The sequence below is a fragment of the Homo sapiens genome, chromosome 20 (genome assembly GCF_000001405.40).
Source record: "Homo sapiens chromosome 20, GRCh38.p14 Primary Assembly".
In the NCBI taxonomy this organism is placed as follows: domain Eukaryota; kingdom Metazoa; phylum Chordata; class Mammalia; order Primates; family Hominidae; genus Homo; species Homo sapiens.
The window spans coordinates 22,719,552-22,740,484 of record NC_000020.11 but is presented as its reverse complement, the minus strand read 5'-3'; the positions used below and the strand labels follow the sequence as shown (position 1 = coordinate 22,740,484).

Sequence of the window (20,933 nt, the reverse complement as noted above, 5' to 3'; positions counted from 1 at the left end):
CATCCATGTCCCTACAAAGCACATGAACTCATCCTTTTGTTATGGCTTCATAGTATTCCGTGGTGTATATGTGCCACATTTTCTTAATCTAGTCTATCATTGATGGTCATTTGGGTTGGTTCCAAGTCTTTGCTATTGTGAATAGTGCCGCAATAAACATACGTGGGCATGTGCCTTTATAGCAGCATGATTTATAATCCTTTGGGTATATACCCAGTAATGGGATGGCTGGGTCAAGTGGTATTTCTAGTTCTAGATCCTTGAGGAATCGCCACACTGTCTTCCACAATGGTTGAACTAGTTTACAGTCCCAACAACAGTGTAAAACTGTTCCTATTTCTCCACATCCTCTCCAGCACCTGTTGTTTCCTGACTTTTAATGATTGCCATTCTAACTGGTGTGAGATGGTATCTCATTGTGGTTTTGAATTGCATATCTCTGATGGCCAGTGATGATGAGCATTTTTTCACGGGTCTCTTGGCTACATAAATGTCTTCTTTTGAGAAGTGTCTGTTCATATCCTTGGCCCACTTTGTGATGGGGTTGTTTGTTCTTTTCTTGTAAATTTGCTTGAGTTCATTGTAGATGCTGGATATTACCCCTTTGTCAGATGAGTAGATTGCAAAAATTTTCTCCCATTCTATAGGTTGCTTGTTCACTCTGATGGTAGTTTCTTCTGCTGTGCAGAAGCTCTTTAGTTTAATTAGATCCCATTTGTCAATTTTGGCTTTTGTTGCCATTGCTTTTGGTGTTTTAGTCATGAAGTCTTTGCCCATGCCTATGTCCTGAATGGTAATGCCTAGGTTTTCTTCTAGGGTTTTTATGGTTTTAGGTCTAACATTTAAGTCTTTAATCCACCTTGAATTAATTTTTGTATAAGGTGTAAGGAAGGAATCTAGTTTCAGCTTTCTACGTATGGCTAGCCAGTTTTCCCAGCACCATTTTTTAAATAGGGAATCCTTTCCCCATTTCTTGTTTTTGTCAGGTTTGTCAAAGATCAGATGGTTGTAGATGTGCGGTATTATTTCTGAGGGCTCTGTTCTGTTCCATTGGTCTATATCTCTATTTTGGTACCAGTACCATGCTGTTTCGGTTACTGTAGCCTTGTAGTATAGTTTGAAGTCAGGTAGCGTGATGCCTCCAGCTTTGTTCTTTTTGCTTAGGATTGTCTTGGCTATGTGGGCTCTTTTTTGGTTCCATATGAACTTTAAAGTAGTTTTTTCCAATTCTGTGAAGAAAGTCATTGATAGCTTGATAGTGATGGCATTGAATCTATAAATTACCTTGGGCAGTATGGCCATTTTCACAACACTGATTCTTCCTATCCATGAGCATGGAATGTTCTTCCATTTGTTTGTGTCCTCTTTTATTTCGTTGAGCAGTGGTTTGTAGTTCTCCTTGAAGAGGACCTTCACATCCCTTGGAAGTTGGATTCCTAGGTATTTTATTCTCTTTGAAGCAATTGTGAATGGGAGTTCACTCATGATTTGGCTCTCTGTTTGTCTGTTATTTGTGTATAAGAATGCTTGTGATTTTTGCACATTGATTGTGTATCCTGAGACTTTGCTGAAGTAGCTTATCAGCTTAAGGAGATTTGGGGCTGAGATGATGGGGTTTTCTAAATATACAATCATGTCATCTGCAAACAGGGACAATTTGACTTCCTCTTTTCCTAGTGGAATACGCTTTATTTCCTTCTCCTGCCTGATTGCCCTGGAGAGAATTTCCAACACTATGTTGAATAGGAGTGGTGAGTCTTGTGCCAGTTTTCAAAGGGAATGCTTCTAGTTTTTGCCCATTCAGTAAGATATTGGCTGTGGGTTTAGCATAAATAGCTCTTATTATTTTGAGATATGTCCCATCAATACCTAATTTATTGAGAGTTTTTAACATGAAGGGCTGTTGAATTTTGTCAAAGGCCTTTTCTGTGTCTATTGAGATAATCATGTGATTTTTGTCTGTGGTTCTGTTTATATGCTGAATTACGATTATTGATTTGCATATGTTGAGCCAACCTTGCATCCCAGGGATGAAGCCCACTTGATCATGGTGGATAAGCTTTTTGATGTGCTGCTGGATTCTGTTTGCCAGTATTTTATTGAGGATTTTTGCATCAATGTTCATCAAGGATATTGGTCTAAAATTCTCTTTTTTGGTTGTGTCTCTGCCAGGCTTTGGTATCAGGATGATGCTGGCCTCATAAAATGAGTTAGGAGGATTCCCTCTTTTTCTATTGATTGGAATAGTTTCAGAAGGAATGGTACCAGCTCCTCCTTGTACCTCTGGTAGAATTCGGCTGTGAATCCATCTGGTCCTGGACTTTTTTTGGTTGGTAAGCTATTAATTATTGTCTCAATTTCAGAGCCTGTTACTGGTCTATTCAGAGACTCAACTTCTTCCTGATTTAGTCTTGGGAGAGTGTATGTGTCCAGGAATTTATCCATTTCTTCTAGATTTTCTAGTTTATTTGCGTGGAGGTGTTTATAGTATTCTCTGATGGTAGTTTGTATTTCTGTGGGATTGGTGATGATATCCCCTTTATCATTTTTTATTGTGTCTATTTGATTCTTCTCTCTTTTATTCTTTATTAGTCTTGCTAGTGGTCTATCAGTTTTGTTGATCTTTTCAAAAAACCAGCTCCTGAATTCATTTATTTTTTGAAGGGTTTTTTGTGTCTCTATCTCCTTCATTTCTGCTCTGATCTTAGTTATTTCTTGCCTTCTGCTAGCTTTTGAATTTGTTTGCTCTTGCTTCTGTAGTTCTTTTAATTTTGATGTTAGGGTGTCAATTTTAGATCTTTCCTGCTTTCTCGTGTGGGCATTTAGTGCTATAAGTTTCCCTCTACACACTGCCTTAAATGTGTCCCAGAGATTCTGGTATGTGGTGTCTTTGTTCTCATGGGTTTCAAAGAACATCTTTATTTCTGCCTTCATTTCGTTATGTACCCAGTAGTCATTCAGGAGCAGGTTGTTCAGTTGCCATGTAGTTGAGCAGTTTTGAGTGAGTTTCTTAATCCTGAGTTCTAGTTTAATTGCATTGTGGTCTGAGAGACAGTTTGTTGTAATTTGTATTCTTTTACTTTTGCTGAGGAGTGCTTTACTTCCAACTATGTGGTCAATTTTGGAATAAGTGTGATGTGGTGCTGAGAAGAATGTATATGCTGTTGATTTGGGGTGGAGAGTTCTATAGATGTCTGTTACGTCCACTGGGTGCAGAGCTGAGTTCAATTCCTGGATATCCTTGTTAACTTTCTGTCTCATTGATCTGTCTAATGTTGACAGTGGGGTGTTAAAGTCTCCCATTATTATTGTGTGGGAGTCTAAGTCTCTTTGTAGATCTCTAAGGACTTGCTTTATGAATCTGAGTGCACCTGTATTGGGTGCATATATATTTAAGACAGTTAGCTCTTCTTGTTGAATTGATCCCTTTACCATTATGTAATGGCCTTCTTTGTCTCTTTTGATCTTTGTTGGTTTAAAGTCAGTTTTATCAGAGACTAGGATTGAAACCCCTGCTTTTTTTTTATTTGCTTGGTAGATATTCCTCCATCGCTTTATTTTGAGTCTATGTGTGTCTCTGCACATGAGATGGGTCTCCTGAATACATCACACTGATGGGTCTTGACTCTTTACCCAATTTGCCAGTCTGTGTCTTTCAATTGGAGCATTTATCCCATTTACATTTAAGGTTAATATTGTTATGTGTGAATTTGAGCTTGTTTTTATGATGTTAGCTGTTTATTTTGCTCGATAGTTGATGCAGTTTCTTCTGAGCATCGATGTTCTTTACAATTTGGCATGTTTTTGCAGTGACTGGTACTGGTTGTTCCTTTCCATGTTTAGTGCTTCCTTCGGGGGCTCTTTTAGGGCAGGCCTGGTGATGACAAAATCTCTCAGCATTTGCTTGTCTGTAAAGGATTTTATTTCTCCTTCACTTATGAAGCTTAGTTTGGCTGGACATGAAATTCTGGGTTGAAAATTCTTTTCTTTAAGAATGTTGAATATTGTCCCCCACTTCCTTCTGGCTTGCAGAGTTTCTGCAGAGAGATTCGCTGTTAGTCTGATGGGTTTCCCTTTGTGAGTAACCCGACCTTTCTCTCTGGCTGCCCTTAACATTTTTTCCTTCATTTCAACTTTGGTGAATCTGAGAATTATGTGTCTTGGAGGTGCTCTTCTCGAGGAGTATCTTTGTGGTGTTCTCTGTATTTCTGGAATTTGAATGTTGGCCTGCCTTGCTAGGTTGGAGAAGTTCTCCTGGATAATATCCTGCAGAGTGTTTTCCAACTTGGTTCCATTCTCCCCATCACTTTCAGGTACACCAATCAGACATAGATTTGGTCTTTTCACATAGTCCCATATTTCTTGGAGGCTTTGTTCATTTCTTTTTACCCTTTTTCTCTAAACTTCTCTTCTCACTTCATTTCATTCATTTGTTCTTCCATCTCTGATACCCTTTCTTCCAGTTGATGGAATTGGCTACTGAAGCTTGTGCATTCTTCATGTAGTCTCATGCCATGGTTTTCAGCTCCATCAGGTCATTTAAGGACTTCTCTACACTAGTTATTCTAGTTAGCCATTCGCCTAATCTTTTTTCAAGGTTTTTAGCTTCTTTGCATTGGGTTCAAACTTCCTCCTTTAGCTCAGAGGAGTTTGATCGTCTGAAGCCTTCTTCTCTCAAGTCGTCAAAGTCATTCTCCATCCAGCTTTGTCCCATTGCTGGCGAGGAGCTGTATTCCTTTTGAAGGGGAGAGATGCTCTGATTTTTAGAATTTTCAGCTTTTCTGCTCTGTTTTTTCCCCATCTTTGTGGTTTTATCTACCTTTGGTCTTTGATGATGGTGACATACAGATGGGGTTTTGGTGTGGATGTCCTTTCTGTTTGTTAGTTTTCCTTCTAACAGTCAGAATCCTCAGCTGCAGGTCTGTTGGAGTTTGCTGGAGGTCCACTCCAGACCTTGTTTGCCTGGGTATCAGCAGCGGAGGTTGCACAACAGCGAATATTGCTGAGCAGCAAATGTTCCTGCCTGATTGTTCCTCTGGAAGCTTCGTCTCAGAGGGGTACCCAGCCATGTGAGGTATCAGTCTGCCCCTACTGGGGGGTCCCTCCCAGTTAGGCTACTCGGAGGTCAGGGACCCACTTGCGGCAGTCTGTTCATTCTCAGATCTCAAACTCTGTGCTGGGAGAACCACTACTCTCTTCAAAGCTGTCAGACAGGGACGTTTAAGTCTGCAGAGGTTTCTGTTGCCTTTTGTTTGGCTCTGCCCTGCCCCTAGTGGTGAGTCTACAGAGGCAGGCAGGCCTCCTTGAGCAGTGGTAGGCTCCACCCAGTTCGAGCTTTGTTTACCTACTCAAGCCTCAGCAATGGCAGGTGCCCCTCCCCCAGCCTCGCTGCCACCTTGCAGTTCAATCTCAGACTGCTGTACTAGCAATAAGCGAGGCTCTGTGGGCATGGGACCCTCTGAGCCAGGCATGGGATATAATTTCCTGGTGTGCCATTTGCTAAGACCATTGGAAAAGCACAGTATTAGGGTGGGAGTGACCCTATTTTCCAGGTGCCATCTGTCACCCCTTCCCTTTGTTAGGAAAAGGAATTCCCTGACCCCTTGTGCTTCCGGGGTGAGGTGATGCCTCATCCTGCTTCAGCTCACATTCAGTGGGCTGCACCCACTCTCCTGCCCCCACTGTCCGACGAACCCCAGTGAGATGAACCCAGTACCTCAGTTGAAAATGCAGAAATCACCCATCTTCTGCATCACTCATGCTGGGAGATGTAGACTGGAGCTGTTCCTATTCGGCCATCTTGGAACTGCCCCCCGATTTTCTTAACTGTGTGTTTTACCAAGCAGAAACTTTTAATTTTAATTAATCAAGCTTATTATTTTTTATGGGTTTTGCCTCTGGCGTTATATTGCCATATCCAAGTCATTGATTTTCTCCTGTTATTTGCTGGGAGGTTAATAGTTCTGCATTTTATATTTAGGTCTATGCTCTATTGGATTAATTTTTGTGAAGGATGTAAGATTTGATCTAGATTCATTTTTTTTACACAGAAATGTCCAGTTGTTTCAGCACCATTTATGGAAAAGACAACATTTCTCCATTGCATCCCCTTTGATCCTATATCAAAGAGTAATTGACTATATTAATGTGGGTCTATACCTTAGCTCTCTGTTCTATTACTTTGAACTATTTGTTTATTCTTTCATCAATACCTCACCATCTTGATTACTGTAGCTTTCAGTAAGCCCTGAAGTTGGTTAGTGTAAGTATTCTGACTTTCTTCTCTTTCAATGTTGAGTTGGCTATTCTCGGTCTTTTGCTTTTCCATATAAACGTAAAATCAAGATGGTCAGCAAAGCCTGAGTCCTGTCCTCTCGCTCTCCTCCTCGGACAGCATGAGCTTCACCACTCGCTCCACCTTCTCCACCAACTACTGGTCCCTGGGCTCTGTCCAGATGCCAAGCTATGGTGCCCGGCTGGTCAGCAGCAAGGCCAGCGTCTATGAAGGTGCTGGGGCCTCTGGTTCCCTGATCTCCATGTCCCACTCCACCAGCTTCGGGGGCGGCATGGTGTCCAGAGCTCTGGCTGTGGGGATGGCTGAGAGTCTGGCAGGAATGGAAGGCATCCAGAACAAGAAGGAGACCAGGCAAAGCCTGAATGACCACCTGATCTCCTACCTGGACAGAGTGAGGAGCCTGGAGACCAAGAACCAGAGGCTGGAGAGCAAAATCTGTGAGCAATTGGAGAAGAAGGGACCCCAGGTCAGAGACTGGGGGCATTACTTCAAGACCATAGAGGACCTGAGGGCTCAGATCTTTGCAAATACTGTGGACAATGCCCACATCGTTCTGCAGATTGACAATGCCCATCTTGCTGCTGATGACTTTAGAGTCAAGTATGAGACAGAGCTGGCCATGCTCCAATCTGTAGAGAGCTACCTCCATGGGCTCTGCAAGGTCATTGATGACACGAATGTCACTCGGCTGCAGCTGGAGACAGATCAAGGCTCTCAAGGAGGAGCTGCTCTTCATGAAGAAGAACCACAAAGAGGAAATAAAAGGCCTACAAGCCCAGATTACCAACTCTGGGTTGACCATGGAGGTAGATGCCCCCAAATCTCAGGACCTCAACTAGATCATGGCAGACATCCAGGCCCAATATGACGAGCTGGCTCAGAAGAACTGAGATGAGCTGGACAAGTACTGGTCTCAGCAGATTAAGGAGAGCACCACAGTGGTCACCACACAGTCCACCGAGGTTGGAGCTGCTGAGATGATGCTCACAGAGCTGAGACATACAGTCCAGTCATTGGAGATCAACCTGGATTCCATAAGAAATCTGAAGGCTAGCTTGGAGAACAGCCTGAGGGAGGTGGAGGCCCCCTACACCCTTTAGATGGAGCAGCTCAATGGGATCCTGCTGCACCTGAAGTCAGAGCTGGTACAGACCCGGGCAGAGGGACAGCGCCAGGCCCAGGAGTAGGAGGCCCTGCTGAACATCAAGGTCAAGCTGGAGGCTGAGATCTCCACCTACTGCCGCCTGCTGGAAGATGGCGAGGACTTCAATATTGGTGATGCCCTGGACAGCAGCAGCTCCATGTAAACCATCCAAAAGACCACCACCCACCAAATAGTGGATGGCAAAGTGGTGTCTGAGACCAATGACACCAAAGTTCTGAGACATAAAGCCAGCAGAAGCAGGGGACTTTTGGGGAGAAGGAGGCCAATAAAAAGTTCAGAGGTCAAAAAAAAACTAACTTAGAATCAGTTTATGTAACAAAAATAACTTGCTGGGATTTTGATTGGGATTGCACTGAATCTACCAGTCAAGTGGTAAAGAACTGACATTTTGAAAATATTGAGTTGTCCTGTCTATAAACATCGAATAACTTTTTATTTGTCTAGTCTTTTGATTCCTTTTTATCAAAGTTTTGTCATTTTCCTCATATAAACCTTCTACATACTTTGTTAGATCTGTATCTAAATATTTCAATTTGGGGCTGCTAATGCAAATGGTAATGTGTTTTCGTTTTAAATTCCACTCATTCATAGGTTGCTGGCATATATGAAAGTGATTGACTTTTGTATACTAACCTTGTATCCTGCATGCTTGCTATAAAATTATTATAAAGTTTCAGTTATTCTGTTGATTCTTTCAGATTTTCTATATAGGCAATCATATCATCTGCAGAAAAAGACAGTTTTATTTCTTCCATCCTAATCTATATACCTTTTATTTCCAAACTGCTATTTTTTAAGGTTTATTACAACACCAACGTGTTATGAATACATCCTAATAAAGGATTATTTGTAGTTCACAAATAAAACCAAAAAAGTCTGTAAAATACTGAAATTTTACATAAGTCAAAAATAATAGGTGAAGACAAATATTGTATGATTCCATATATATGATACTGAGGGTAGTCAACTTCATAGAGACAGAAAGTAGAACGGTGGATTCCAGGAACTGAAGGAAGGGAGAATGGGGAGTTGTTTAATAGGTACAGAGTACTCTGTACTCTGTCTTAGAAGATGAGAAAGTTCTGGAGATGGATCGTGGTGATGGTTACACAACATTGTAAATGTACCTAATGTCACTGAACTGTACACTTAAAAATAGTTAAATGGCAAATTTTACATTATTTCTATTTTGCAATAATTTTTAAAAAAAGATTGGTAATTGATTTTGTTGCTGGCAGGATTTAAAGCCCTTGCTCCACCCTACAGACAAAACAAGATTGCAGGATTGTGTTGCTGGTATTTTGTGTTTGTTTGTTTTTTCCCTATAGAATTCACCTGTTCTCAACATGTTCAGCATTCACTCAAAAATCCCAATGGTTTCTAATAAAGATTCAGCTACTAAAAGATATAAAGTTTAATGATACAAAACAGCAGCAACACAAATTGACGATTAACCCAGATCCCATCCATGCAGAGTCGCTCCAAACTATCTGTTCTCTTTTCCTTTCTTTCTTCCTGTTGGGTAACTGCTGTTGTGAAGTTGCCACCCATACGTGATGTTTTCCTACTTTCAGAGGAACCCATAACATGTGTATAAATAGTCACGCATAATATTAACAGAAGGTGTATAGGCTTTTTTGTGTGTTTCCCTGTTTCTTTTTCTTTTTTCAAACGCTTAACCCAGTGCCCAGAGGACTGGCCATTTGTTGTCTAGATACCCTACTCTACCACAGTTTTCCCAGTGTGATGCCATCTTCCTCTTCCACCATGAGGCTTGCCCTCATGATCACTCCCCTCTCATCCATCATCTCTCTCGTTAATTCCTCTCTGCCTTTGCCTGCTTAGGGAATCCACAAGCACAAGTCTCCCACTGGCACTCTGAGATACAAAATTCCACAAACCATATTTCCACGTGAAATCCAACACTCTAGAACTATGAATTTCTGCCCTTGTACCATGCATTACACACATGTACTCAGTATCATTTAGTTGTATTTTATCAAGTGTTGGAGAGCTTGAAACTCCCCAACACTTGATAGGCAATCTTGGGTAAGAAACTTGATGTCTCAGATTTGGTTTCCCACCTCCCCTAGGTAAGGATTAAGTACAAGTCGTTCTTTGAGAAGTGATCCTAAGAAAACTCAGTGGAGTGGGGAGTTGAGGAGAGACGCGAAAGGGTAGAAAGTTAAGATGGGAGGTATCATTGAGCTCTTTACCACTGGGAGCAATCAGGACTCAGCTCACAGGGAAATTCTGGAAACAACTGCAGACTACACCCCAGAGAGATTCTCTTCACAGCAGCTAGGAAACTAGGACATTTATCTACCAACTCCCAGCTGCCATTGGTTGAAGGCTGCTTCCTGGACACTGCGTTTCCAGCACCTCTGGCCTGCCCTGAACTCAGGTCCACCATCATCCTGCAGCCAGAACAGTAATGCCCTCAGGCAGAGGTGTTCTCCCTAGGCAGCTATTGATTAGCCTGTGGAACTGATAATGGAGGGGATTTAGCCCGGCCACTGACAGTGTCTGCTGCACTTACCCTTTCTGAGCTCCCACATCTTCATTGGCAGAGTGCATGTGAGCGTTTAGGGGGTTTTCACTTCACTGGGTTTGTTGCATGAAATAAATTGAATAATGTATGTAAACATGTAAACACAGTATCTCCATCAGAATTTCCAGAAGCAGACAACAAAAATCCACTCTAGCTACTGAAAACAGATGGGGGTTCGGTAAAGGGTAAGGCAGACCTTAAGGAAGCCCAGGAAGGGGCAGACAAACAGAAATAAAAGTTATACGACTGGAGGGATTCCCCAGGCTCCGTCCCTTTGCCCATGTATCTGTTCCTCCACTGAAGGCTGCAGCTCCCATCAGAAAGTCCCTCTTCCTAATACTGGTTTCTCTCTCAGAGATTGGGAGTCCCCCTGTTCTGCTGGGGGCAGTAGCAGCTCCCCACTGCTGCTGGCCGCTAGGGTACTGCACCTCAGTGACTTCCCCACACCCCGCCCATCTCAATACCTCTTCATTAGAGTCTCCTCCATGACTCCCCACACCCCGCCCACAACTCTCTATATCTCTTCAGTAGACCCTCCTCCATGACTTTCCACACCCTGCGCACAGCTCTCTATGCCTCTTAATTACACTCTCCTCCATGAATCCCCACACCCCGCCCACAGCTCTCTACACCTCCTCATTACACTCTTCTCTATGACTTCCTACACCCTGCCCACAGCTCTCTATACCTCTTCATTACACACTTCTCCATGACTCCCCACACCCCACCCACAGCTCTCCATACCCCTTCATTAAACCCTCCTTCATGACTTGCTTCCCTGTAGTGTCTGTTTCTAGGCCAGAAATTATGGCTAATACTGCCACACCAGGCCACGCTCTTTAATTATGATCTACTCTGGCTGTGTTTCTCGCAAAGAAAAGGTGGAATGGGTCTCAGGACAAGTTAAATTTTGGCATATGGGAGATGGGGGTGGAAGAAGAACCTGAGCCCCTTTTCTGGTTGAAAGGATGCTGAGAATCAAGGAAGTTCCTGCTTGCCTCAGGGTTAATGTGAGGGGACTTCCCAGGCATGGGACAGCCCTGAGAGGAGCAGAGGACTGAGCAGCAGGAAGTGCCCATGGACCACACACCCTGACCTTTGACTCTTCCTGTGACTAAGGCTGCTGTGGCTTCTGGCAGCAGGAGACTATAGGGAACTTCAGAGTGTCTCCAGCACCTCCCTGTCACCCTCCTTGTTGCATTACAGAGGATACAGCTGAAAAGGCAGGCCACCTGCATCTTCTTTTCTGTAGAAATTGATGTGATGAGAATCACATGTCCTATAAACCTAGCATGAGCCATGCACTCATTAAAGAGCAAATGCACAGCTACAACTTTGTGGCCATGCAGGAGAATTCCGGTGCACATCGGCTCTGCTAAGAACCAACTGCATGACTGTGGAGCCACCTGCCATCCCGGTGGCTGCCCTGTGAGGGAACTAATACCCACCTCACCACCACCAGGCAACCCTTGGCCCATGGCCAAGGGACCAGTGGATGAATAGTCTCCTCCTGCATGTCTCCAGTGGGAGGTTCTCTCCAGTTTTTGGTGGGTCCCTGGGGATCTGAGCCCAGCTTCCTACAGTGTGTGAGATCATAAGGCTTCCTTACATGGGCTCCTGGCCTCTTCCCCTCCTCTTTCCAGTCCTCCATCTCTCCAGAGCCCTAGCATCACTTTCCAGAATACTCCCAGGGTCTGCTTCAAGGGGACTGGAGCTAAGATGGTGCCCATGAGAAGTGTACTGAGTTTAACTGGGAGATTTGGGAGTCTGGAGGTAAGTGAGTGCCAGCTCCCTACTCTGAGGATGCGCACAATTTGGACAGATGGGGCCTGGAGACAGCCATCAACTTCCTCATCTGCTGAGCACTGAGCACAAACCCTGAGCAAACTAAGAGATCGCCACCCACAAAGCCTCCCTTGCCTTGGCATTGCATCCTTTTGTTTCTCCCCAAGGTGTGGCTGGCAGGAAGTAAGTCTGTGGGAGCATCGTCTCACACTCAGCCTGGAGATGCCCCACAGCCTTTTCACTCTCACAGCAGCTTCACAGCAGGAGAATCAGGAACTTGCTGTGACGGCCAGGGCTTGAGGCTGTGCTGTGGGTACAAGAACAGTTTCTACTGTAAATGTGAACAGCCTGGCTTCTGCATCTCAGACTTCAGTTGAGTTGAGAGAAAAGATCAAGCCACACCTTGACCTTTACAACCACAGACCAGCTGAATCCTCCCAGAACTGGGAGGTTAGAAGTAGTATTCTGGTACAAGTGTTGATGTTGCCCTGGGAATATTTTGGGGAATGAATTTCTCTCCAGGAACAAAGGATGGACAAGGGGACAGGAAACAAAGGCCTGCTTACCGTGAAGGTGGAGAGTAGAAAGGTGATTCATTAAATGGACTGGCATGGCTAGGATTTACCCCAGTGGCTACAGTCTTGGCCTTGTATTGATTCAGATCTAAAATGTTCTGGGTTTTCACATTTGCCCAACTACATGGCCTCTCCAAAGACTCCCTGAGCTGGTTTTAAGCTGGTTGGCCAGTACATCTGAGGCCTTCTTAGATAATCATCATGCCTCTCCCTAGAAGTGGTGCCACTGAGCCTTGTTCCTGGAGCCACATACTCTCCGCCCCCTGCTGCCAGAGTGCACAATTATGTTTGGACTTGGACTCACTTCATGCTGACAGTGTCTCAATGAGCCAGGCTCTGTGCACAGGTGAGCTCAAAATTGTGACAAACTTATCCTAAGGTAACTCTCAATCGCTTGGGGCCAGGAGTTAGTAGGTAAATGCTCCTGCCTCCCATCAGATTCTGGCGACTTTCTGCATTACTCTTGGGAGATCCCAGTGAAATCAAGCCCCAGTGGCTCACAGTGGTGACCATGAAAAGACATTCTCCCTCCACCCCTGCTTCCTGGAATCACGCTCTATATAAACCTCTGCACACAGCTCCATGCTCCCATCAGCTTCTGGGAAACTTCAATCTAAGGCACTGAGTTAATGCTACTGCATGCCCTAATCAATGGTTCTTGGTGAAATCAGGGGGTGAAAACTCCTCTCCAGGGGGTGTTTTGGAAATTTCTAGATGTGTTTTTGGTTGTAAAGTGATTGGGGTGATACTGGCTTTAGAGAGTGAATCACATGGAATGTCACATGCACTTCAATGCACAAGGTGCTCCCATGTCAACAAACATGCCCGCCTGCTCCACACACTTTTGAGGTGCCCACTGCATGTTTTTGTAGGTAAAAAATTAATGATAATTATTTCACCTAAGAATCTAAATCTGACTCCCTAAGAAAAACAAAGTGTTTGTCATGGTTTTGATTGGCACTGAATTTTCTAGGATATCCAGTTTTGTGCAGTGAGAGGAGAAGGTATTGTTTCCTTTCAGGGAATGAACAACAGGTTTTCAGTGTTTTGGAAAAAGCACACCATATTGTGTATGTGTTCATTCTGGTAGTATCAGTAAGAAGGTTGTCTTCTAACTATCAGGAAACCCAGACTCAGGATTCAGTCAGCGCCCAATGACATCTGCCTTCTATGTATGTGTATAACGTATATACATATACACACACACACATACACACACACATACAGGTATAACATAGATATAATTTTAATATAGTTTTATTTTGATGGTACATTATGAAGTTCTATATGTATATGATTTTGTAAGCAACTTCAAATATTTTGCAGAAGGGAGATTGATAAAACTGAATGAATGAATGAATGAATGAGTATGTGAATGGGAAGTTACACAACAACCAAGAAATCACATAAAATCTTCAAAATCTGTACAATTTCCTTATTCAGTTAGTGACGCTGATGTTCTTAAAATAGTCTGTCTCTTTAATTCTTTTTTGTTTTCCCAAAATGGAAATATATAATTAAAATTTATTTTTAGTTACATAAATAATACAAGCATGAGGCCGGGCACAGTGGCTCACGCCTATAATCCCAGTGCTTTGGGAGGCCGAGGCGGGTGGATCACCTAAGGTCAAAACGTTGTGACCAGCCTGGCCAATATGGTGAAACCCCATCTCTACTAAAAAAACAAAAATTAGTCGGCCGTGGTGGCACATGGCTGTAATCCTGGCTACTCAGGAGTCTGAGGCAGGAGAACTGCTTGAACCCAAGAGACGGAGGTTGCAGTGAGCCGAGATTGTGCCAATGCACTCCAGTCTGGGGGACAAGAGCGAAATACCATCCCAAAATAATAATAATAATAATAATAATAATAATAATAATAATAATAATACAAGCATGCATTCTCCCTGCAAATATTTAAACATTTGCCACAGCTAAATTCCCCACTGAAAACAAACCTAATCCCAATCCTCTTCCTTTAACCCAAACAAGCCTTCCCTTCCAGAACTTTTATCTGTGCTTACCTACACCTATACCTGCATCTGTATCTATTTTTACATAAAAAGTGTTTCCAAACAATATATACAGCATTAAAAATAAACATTTTTGCAAGATGCTTATATACATTGCTATGTTTGAATGTTTGCCTTCTCCAAAACTCATATGTTGAAAGTAAATTGCTGTTATCATAATATTAGAGATGTGACCTTTAAGAGATGATTAGGTCATGAAGGCACTGCCCTTATCGATGGGATTAATGCTATTATTAAAGGGCAAGTTTTGGCTCCTTTTGCCATTTGCCAAGTGAAGACAAAGACTTCCTCCCCACTGCAGAACTCAGCGTTCAAGGTGCCATCTTGGAATCCAAATGGCCAAACCAACCAGCACCTTTATGTTGGACTGCCCAGCCTCCAGAACTGTGAGCCAATAAATTTCTGGGTATAAGTTACCTAGTTGGTGGTATTCTGTTATAGCAGCACAAACAGACTAAGACATACATGTGAAATGCACATACACACACATGAACAGGATATATTCTTACTGAAGAGTATATTATGCTGTGTGTCTCAGTCTTCCTCTGTCACTATATCTAAATCCTCTCCACTCATTTTAACTGCTTCTTAGTAGGGTAGAGTATAACTAGCCCACAACTGATTCAGCTCTTCTATTGCTGAGCATTGAGTGTTCCTAGCTTCACTGTAACTGCTGCAGGGAATGCCCTAGAGCACACCCCAATCCTAATATGATGCTTGGTTTGATGATCTCCTTCACATGAACACAAGCTCCTTGATTTTAGGGACCTGCATGTTGTGAGTCCACAGTTCTAAGCCCAGCACATGGGCCATGGGAGTATTCAGTAAGGATTGTGGGATAAAACAATGATGAGCAATGAAATAAAGGAATGGTCATTAAACTAATTCAGGTAAGCAATAAAAAGGTGTGAATGCTGTTTTCTTATTTACATAGTCCCTGGAACAGGAAAAAGAGTAAGATAAAAGATACAAGAAAAGATGGTAAACTTATGAGTATAGCTCTAACACATCATGGAGGAAAAATTACCAAATAGCCCCACCAGCTGGATTGCCAAATGAATTTAGTGATGACACAGATGTTTTAAAAATCAAATTTAAAATGACCCGGTGCAATGACTCATGCCTGTAATCCCAGCATTTTGGAAGTCTGAGGCGGGCGGATCACCTGAGGTCAGGAATTCAAGACCAGCCTGGCCAACATGGTGAAACCCCATCTCTACTAAAAATACAAAAATTAGCTGGGTGTGGTGGTTGGCACCTGTAATCCCAGCTACTATGGAGGCTGAGACAGGAGAATTGCTTGAACCCAGGAGGCAGAGTTTGCAGTTAGCAGAGATCGAGCCACTGCACTCCAGCTTGGGCAACAAACAGTGAAACTCTATCTCAAAAAAAAAAATCATATTTTAAAAAAGATAGTGGCTCATCCATTTTATCCAGTATTGTTTACCCACTTATCTTTGTTGATGTGAAGCCCCAGGCAGGTATCACTGTCTACTGGTGCTTTCGAGAGGCCAGTACTGGTTCCAGATCTACCAGGACTGACCCTCACCTCCTGCCCTGATGTGCCTCTGGGAGGGGCTGCCAGGCTGACTGGACAGAGGTGTGAGCTCTGAGAACTGGACTTGACCTCTGCCACAGGGAAGTCAGGCAGGTGAGAGGGGCTTCTCCAAAACAAAATCCTCCATAAAGAAGGCATCTGCATCATTCTTTAGCTGCTGCCCAACCTACATACTGAGCGCTCAAAGGAGTCTCCTATTCACCGAGCATCTTTTTTTATTTTATTTCATTTTTTTTTTGAGACAGAGTCTCTCTGTTGCCCAGGCTGGAGTGCAGTGGCATGATCTTGCCTTATTGCAACCTCCGCCTCCCAGGTTCAAGTGATTTTCCTGCCTCAGCCTCCCAAGTAGCTGGGATTACAGGCATTCACCACCACCCCCAGCTAATTTTTGTATTTTTAGTAGAGACGGTGTTTCACCATGTTGGCCAGGATGGTCTCAATCTCCTGACCTCATGATCCACCCACCTCAGCCTCCCAAAGTGCTGGGATTACAGGCTTGAGCCACCGCACCTGGTCTGAGCACCTTCTTTGAGGCAAACATTTATAGCTGGGCAGCTGGGATTCAGCCTGCAGTGATTCAGCTCATGAGCACAGCACAAACAGAAGCTGATCTGCAGACACATTAAACATCTTGCCTTCATTACTCTAAGTGAAGTAACTCTGGAATGGAAAATCAAATACCACATGTTCTCACCACAAGTGGGAGCTAAGCTTTGAGTACACAGAAGTATACAGTGGTGTAACGGACTTTGAAGACTCAGAAGAGAAAAGGTGGGAGGGAGTGAGGGATAAATACTATATATTGGGTACAATATATACTACTCAGGTGATGGGTGCCTCATCACCCTCAGACTTCCTCACTATACAATTCATCCATGTAAGCAAAAACCACTTGTACCCCCAAAGCTATTGAAATAAAGAAAGATTTAAACAAAAAAATCTTGCCTAGGGTCCCATGGCCCAGTAAAGAGCCTATCTGATCCCAAACCCCGTGCTCTGCTGGCACCTGTGTTCTGCTTCAGCAGATCTCAGCAAGGCAGCCCTGGACCCAGCACACCAGCCATGACCCCAAAGGAAAGGCTGCTTCCCCATGGTCAAAGGATTGTTGGATGGGACACATTGCTGTGGACTCTCTTTGTGTTCACATGACTTTTCTTTCGGGTCCTTAACACTTTCTCCTTTCTTATCTCACTTCTGTTCTTTCCACACCCTTCAATCTGCTCTGAAAGCTCTGAAGCACCCACCCCAGCATGGGGGACTGGAGCAGGCTGGCTGAGCAGGTGCCCTGTAGGCTCCACGGCCAAGCCCCTGGCAGCCCTTCTCTGCTGGTGGGCCACCAATTGGTGACGTCTGTACTCAGCTGCTGGGGGGACTGAGTTGCAACTGGCACTGCCCTGGGATGGCTGTGGCTGCAATGGCATGCTGGCTGGACTGTCCCCATCAGAAGCATCCCAGCAGTGCCTCACCCCCTGCATGGATGTCCCTGGGAGTGGGCCTCTCTACTAGCTCTGAGCTCCTCTTCCTTCCCCTTGGGACAGCCTCACTTTTCCTTCAGGAAAGGCAAGGCCCTTGGGCAGGAAGTCCCACACCCAATGGAACAAGCCCTTCAGGGAGCCCTTGACCCTGCTGTCAGCCTCAAAAGGAGACAGGGATGGATTGCAGCAGGAACATGTGGTAATGGGCCATGTCAGCCCAAGAAAACATAAGCTTAAGGAAGTGATCACTTGACATTTTATATACAAAAATGTCATTATTAAAGAGAATCATGAGGACTTCCATAAATATTTAAAACCCACTGGATAAAATATGACTATTTTTATGTTATGTATTTTTGTGAGCCTTATCATAGTGTAGAAAGAGTAGAATATTTTATGAAGAGTTTTACATAGAACTCATAACCTTCTCCAAACTTTTACTCTTTTTATTTGCTTTCTATTATTATACATTAGTATAATGTCTTTCCAATAATCATCTTTTTCCATCATTCATATAAGTCACGAAGTCATTTGTGTTTCATTACTTTTATGCTCATCTTGTTCCCAAGAAATGGATTTCTTTTGGAAGATAACAAAAGATCCATTGCATAATCCCATTCTTTCTAAATCCTCGAAAGAGACCAACACTTTTATCATTTTCATTGTTCTTAGGCTCTATTCTTTCACCTTTAAACTGTCCATGTCTAATCTATTCTATTCTAAACCTCTGTGGATAATTTGTTCTTCACATGCCATTTTAGGAGGGAAAAAAAAACTTATATAAAAACACTTAAGAAACAGACAGCTTAAAAAAAATGAGCAAAGGAACCTGAATAGATACCTCAGAGAAGAAGAAACCCAAATACATGTGAAAAGATGTTCCACCTCATCAGCCATCAGGAAAATGGAAAGTAAAGCCATGATGAGCTATTGTTACTGTCAAAGATAAACAGCCCGACACTAGGTAAAGGGGTAAGGACCGATTTTAGTAATAACTAGTGAAATAGGGAAAAGAGTCCTCCATGAAGGGAACTCAACTTCCATTTGTACGCAGGTAAACTGGCATTTTAAAAGGAGAATGAAGAAGTAGGAAGTGGGCAGGCCATACAGAAAAGTTAAAATTCATGAAATATCAGCCCGTGTAAACGAGACCAGGCTGACAATCCTCAGTGTTAGGGTCTCATCCTCCTGAGACTGGGGCTGGAAGACAGAAGCCCTATCCTCAGGTATTGGCTGAAACAAACTGTAAATTATTTTAACAGCCTTAAGTTTTCCCAGGAAGGCAATTTAAATGAGGGCTAGCATCCTCTTGGGGATGTGGTCTTGTGCTGTTAGAAACTGTTTGTGCTTGTTCAAGGATTTATTGACCAAAATTGAGGTCTATTAAAAGGAGAACTCCCATTCTGTAGGTTGCCTGTTCACTCTGATGGTAGTTTCTTTTGCTGTGCAGAAGCTCTTTAGTTTAATTAGATCCCATTTGTCAATTTTGGCTTTTGTTGCCATTGCTTTTGGTGTTTTAGACATGAAGTCCTTGCCCATGCCTATGTCCTGAATTGTATTGCCTAGGTTTTCTTCTAGGGTTTTTATGGTTTTAGGTTTAACATTTAAGTCTTTAATCCTTTGAATTAACTTTTGTATAAGGCATAAGGAAGGGATCCAGTTTCAGCTTTCTACATATGGCTAGCCAGTTTTCCCAATAGCATTGGGAGATATACCTAATGTAAATGACAAGTTAATGTGTGCAGCACACCAGCATGGCACATGTATACATATGTAACAAACCTGCACGTTGTGCACATGTACCCTAGAACTTAAAGTATAATTAAAAAATTTAAAGAAAGGAGAACTCAGAGGAGCCTACCTTAAATTTAATCAAGGGGATAATCTTTTTACTCTATATCAAAATGGGCTTTAACAAAAAGATAACATAGTGTTCATAAGGATGTGTGACAAGTGGAATTCATACACTTTGGAAAATTACTTGGGGACATTTCCGAAAGCTAAAGTGTACCTACCCTGAGGTCGAAACATTTCATAGGGGAGTGCTATGTTACCAGAAAACGTGGGCAGAAATGTTCATAACAGCATTATTAGTACTAGCCAAAGCATAGAAGCAATCCATATCAATACAGACAGCAAAATAAAACCACATTCACCAATGAAGTACTACAAAAAAAAATGACAACTGCAACATTTGCAAAATCATGGCAGAGTCTACAGGCAGGAATCTGAGCAAAAGAAATCAGACAGGAAAGAGCACACACTGTATGTAAGATTCTATGAATTTTAAGAACAGGCTAGAGGTGGACTACTTCACAGCCAGAAAAAAAGAACGAGATCATGATCTTTGCAGCAACAAGAATGGAGCTGGAGGTCATTATCCTAAGTGAACTAACACAGGAAGAGAAAACCAAATACCACATGTTCTCACTTATAAGTGGGAGCTAAACATTGAGTACACATGGACACAAAGAAGGAAACAATAGACACCTGGGACCCCTTGAGGGTGGAGGGTGGGAGGAGAGTGAGGATTGAAAAACTACCTGCTGAGTACCATGCTTATCTGCCAGGTGACAACATAAGCTGTACACCAAAACCCCAAGACATAGACATGTAATTTACCTATACGACAAACCTGCACATGTACCCCTGAAACTAACATTAAAGTTTTTTTTTGGTGGTTTTTTTTTTTTTTTTTTTTTTTTTTTCAGAAAGAACAGGCTAAAGGGCTTGTGTTGAGGGAAGCCAGAACACAGATTCCCTCTGGTGGGTGGGTGATGACCGGAAGGAGCCAGAGGTGTGGGGAGTTGGGAATGTCCACATCTTGATCTGAGCAGTGCAATGTGACTCTAGATAGGCGTTATTAAACATTCACGAAGCTACACAATTAAATCATTGGACAGTATGCCAGGCATTTTAAGCCTCAGTTGTTGTTTTTTTTTTTTTTAAAAAAAAAAAGAGAGAGAAACTTAGGGCATATCAGTTAAATATAACATGCAGAACTTGTTTGGATTCTGTTTGTACAAAATCCTGTTAAAAAGCATTCATGAAACAATGAGGAAATGGCAAGTCTCAATTGAAACTTACTACATAACATGAAGTGATGATATTTTTGTATGCTCATGGTATCACAGTATGGATTTATATTCCCTGATCTGTTAGAATACATGCTGAAGGATGCAATTATATGATACTTGGCTTTGCCTCAAAATAGTCCAGTGGGGCCTTGCAGGAGGGCTGGATGTTACAGAGGACACGGGTCAGGAGTACCTTAGCGACGAGTGCATGGAAGTTGATGCATGCATTTGCAGGAAATTTTCCATAATAAAATAATTTCTTTTAAATCTGTCTTTGGGGAAGGCCATAAGAGAAAAAAAAATCTAAAATAAAAATTTTATTTTAAAACAAAGTCTGGTTTTGCTTTATCATGTAGTGAGGCGTACTGCAGGAGATCTGAAACAATGTCAGGGTGCCCCACCCCACCCTGCTTTTCCCTCCT

At 42.8% G+C, this 20,933-nt stretch overlaps 1 pseudogene, besides 2 other annotated features; it reads left to right on the top strand.

Moving 5' to 3' along the window:
* Positions 5,267–5,366: a silencer, noted in NCBI's record as "silent region_12720". NCBI's record gives its function as "represses an Ori minimal core promoter by ATAC-STARR-seq in GM12878 lymphoblastoid cells {active_cell/tissue: GM12878}" and the evidence as "EXISTENCE:reporter gene assay evidence [ECO:0000049][PMID:35858748]".
* KRT18P3 (keratin 18 pseudogene 3) lies at positions 6,349–7,744 on the top strand (annotated as a pseudogene).
* Positions 10,442–10,501: a silencer, noted in NCBI's record as "silent region_12719". NCBI's record gives its function as "represses an Ori minimal core promoter by ATAC-STARR-seq in GM12878 lymphoblastoid cells {active_cell/tissue: GM12878}" and the evidence as "EXISTENCE:reporter gene assay evidence [ECO:0000049][PMID:35858748]".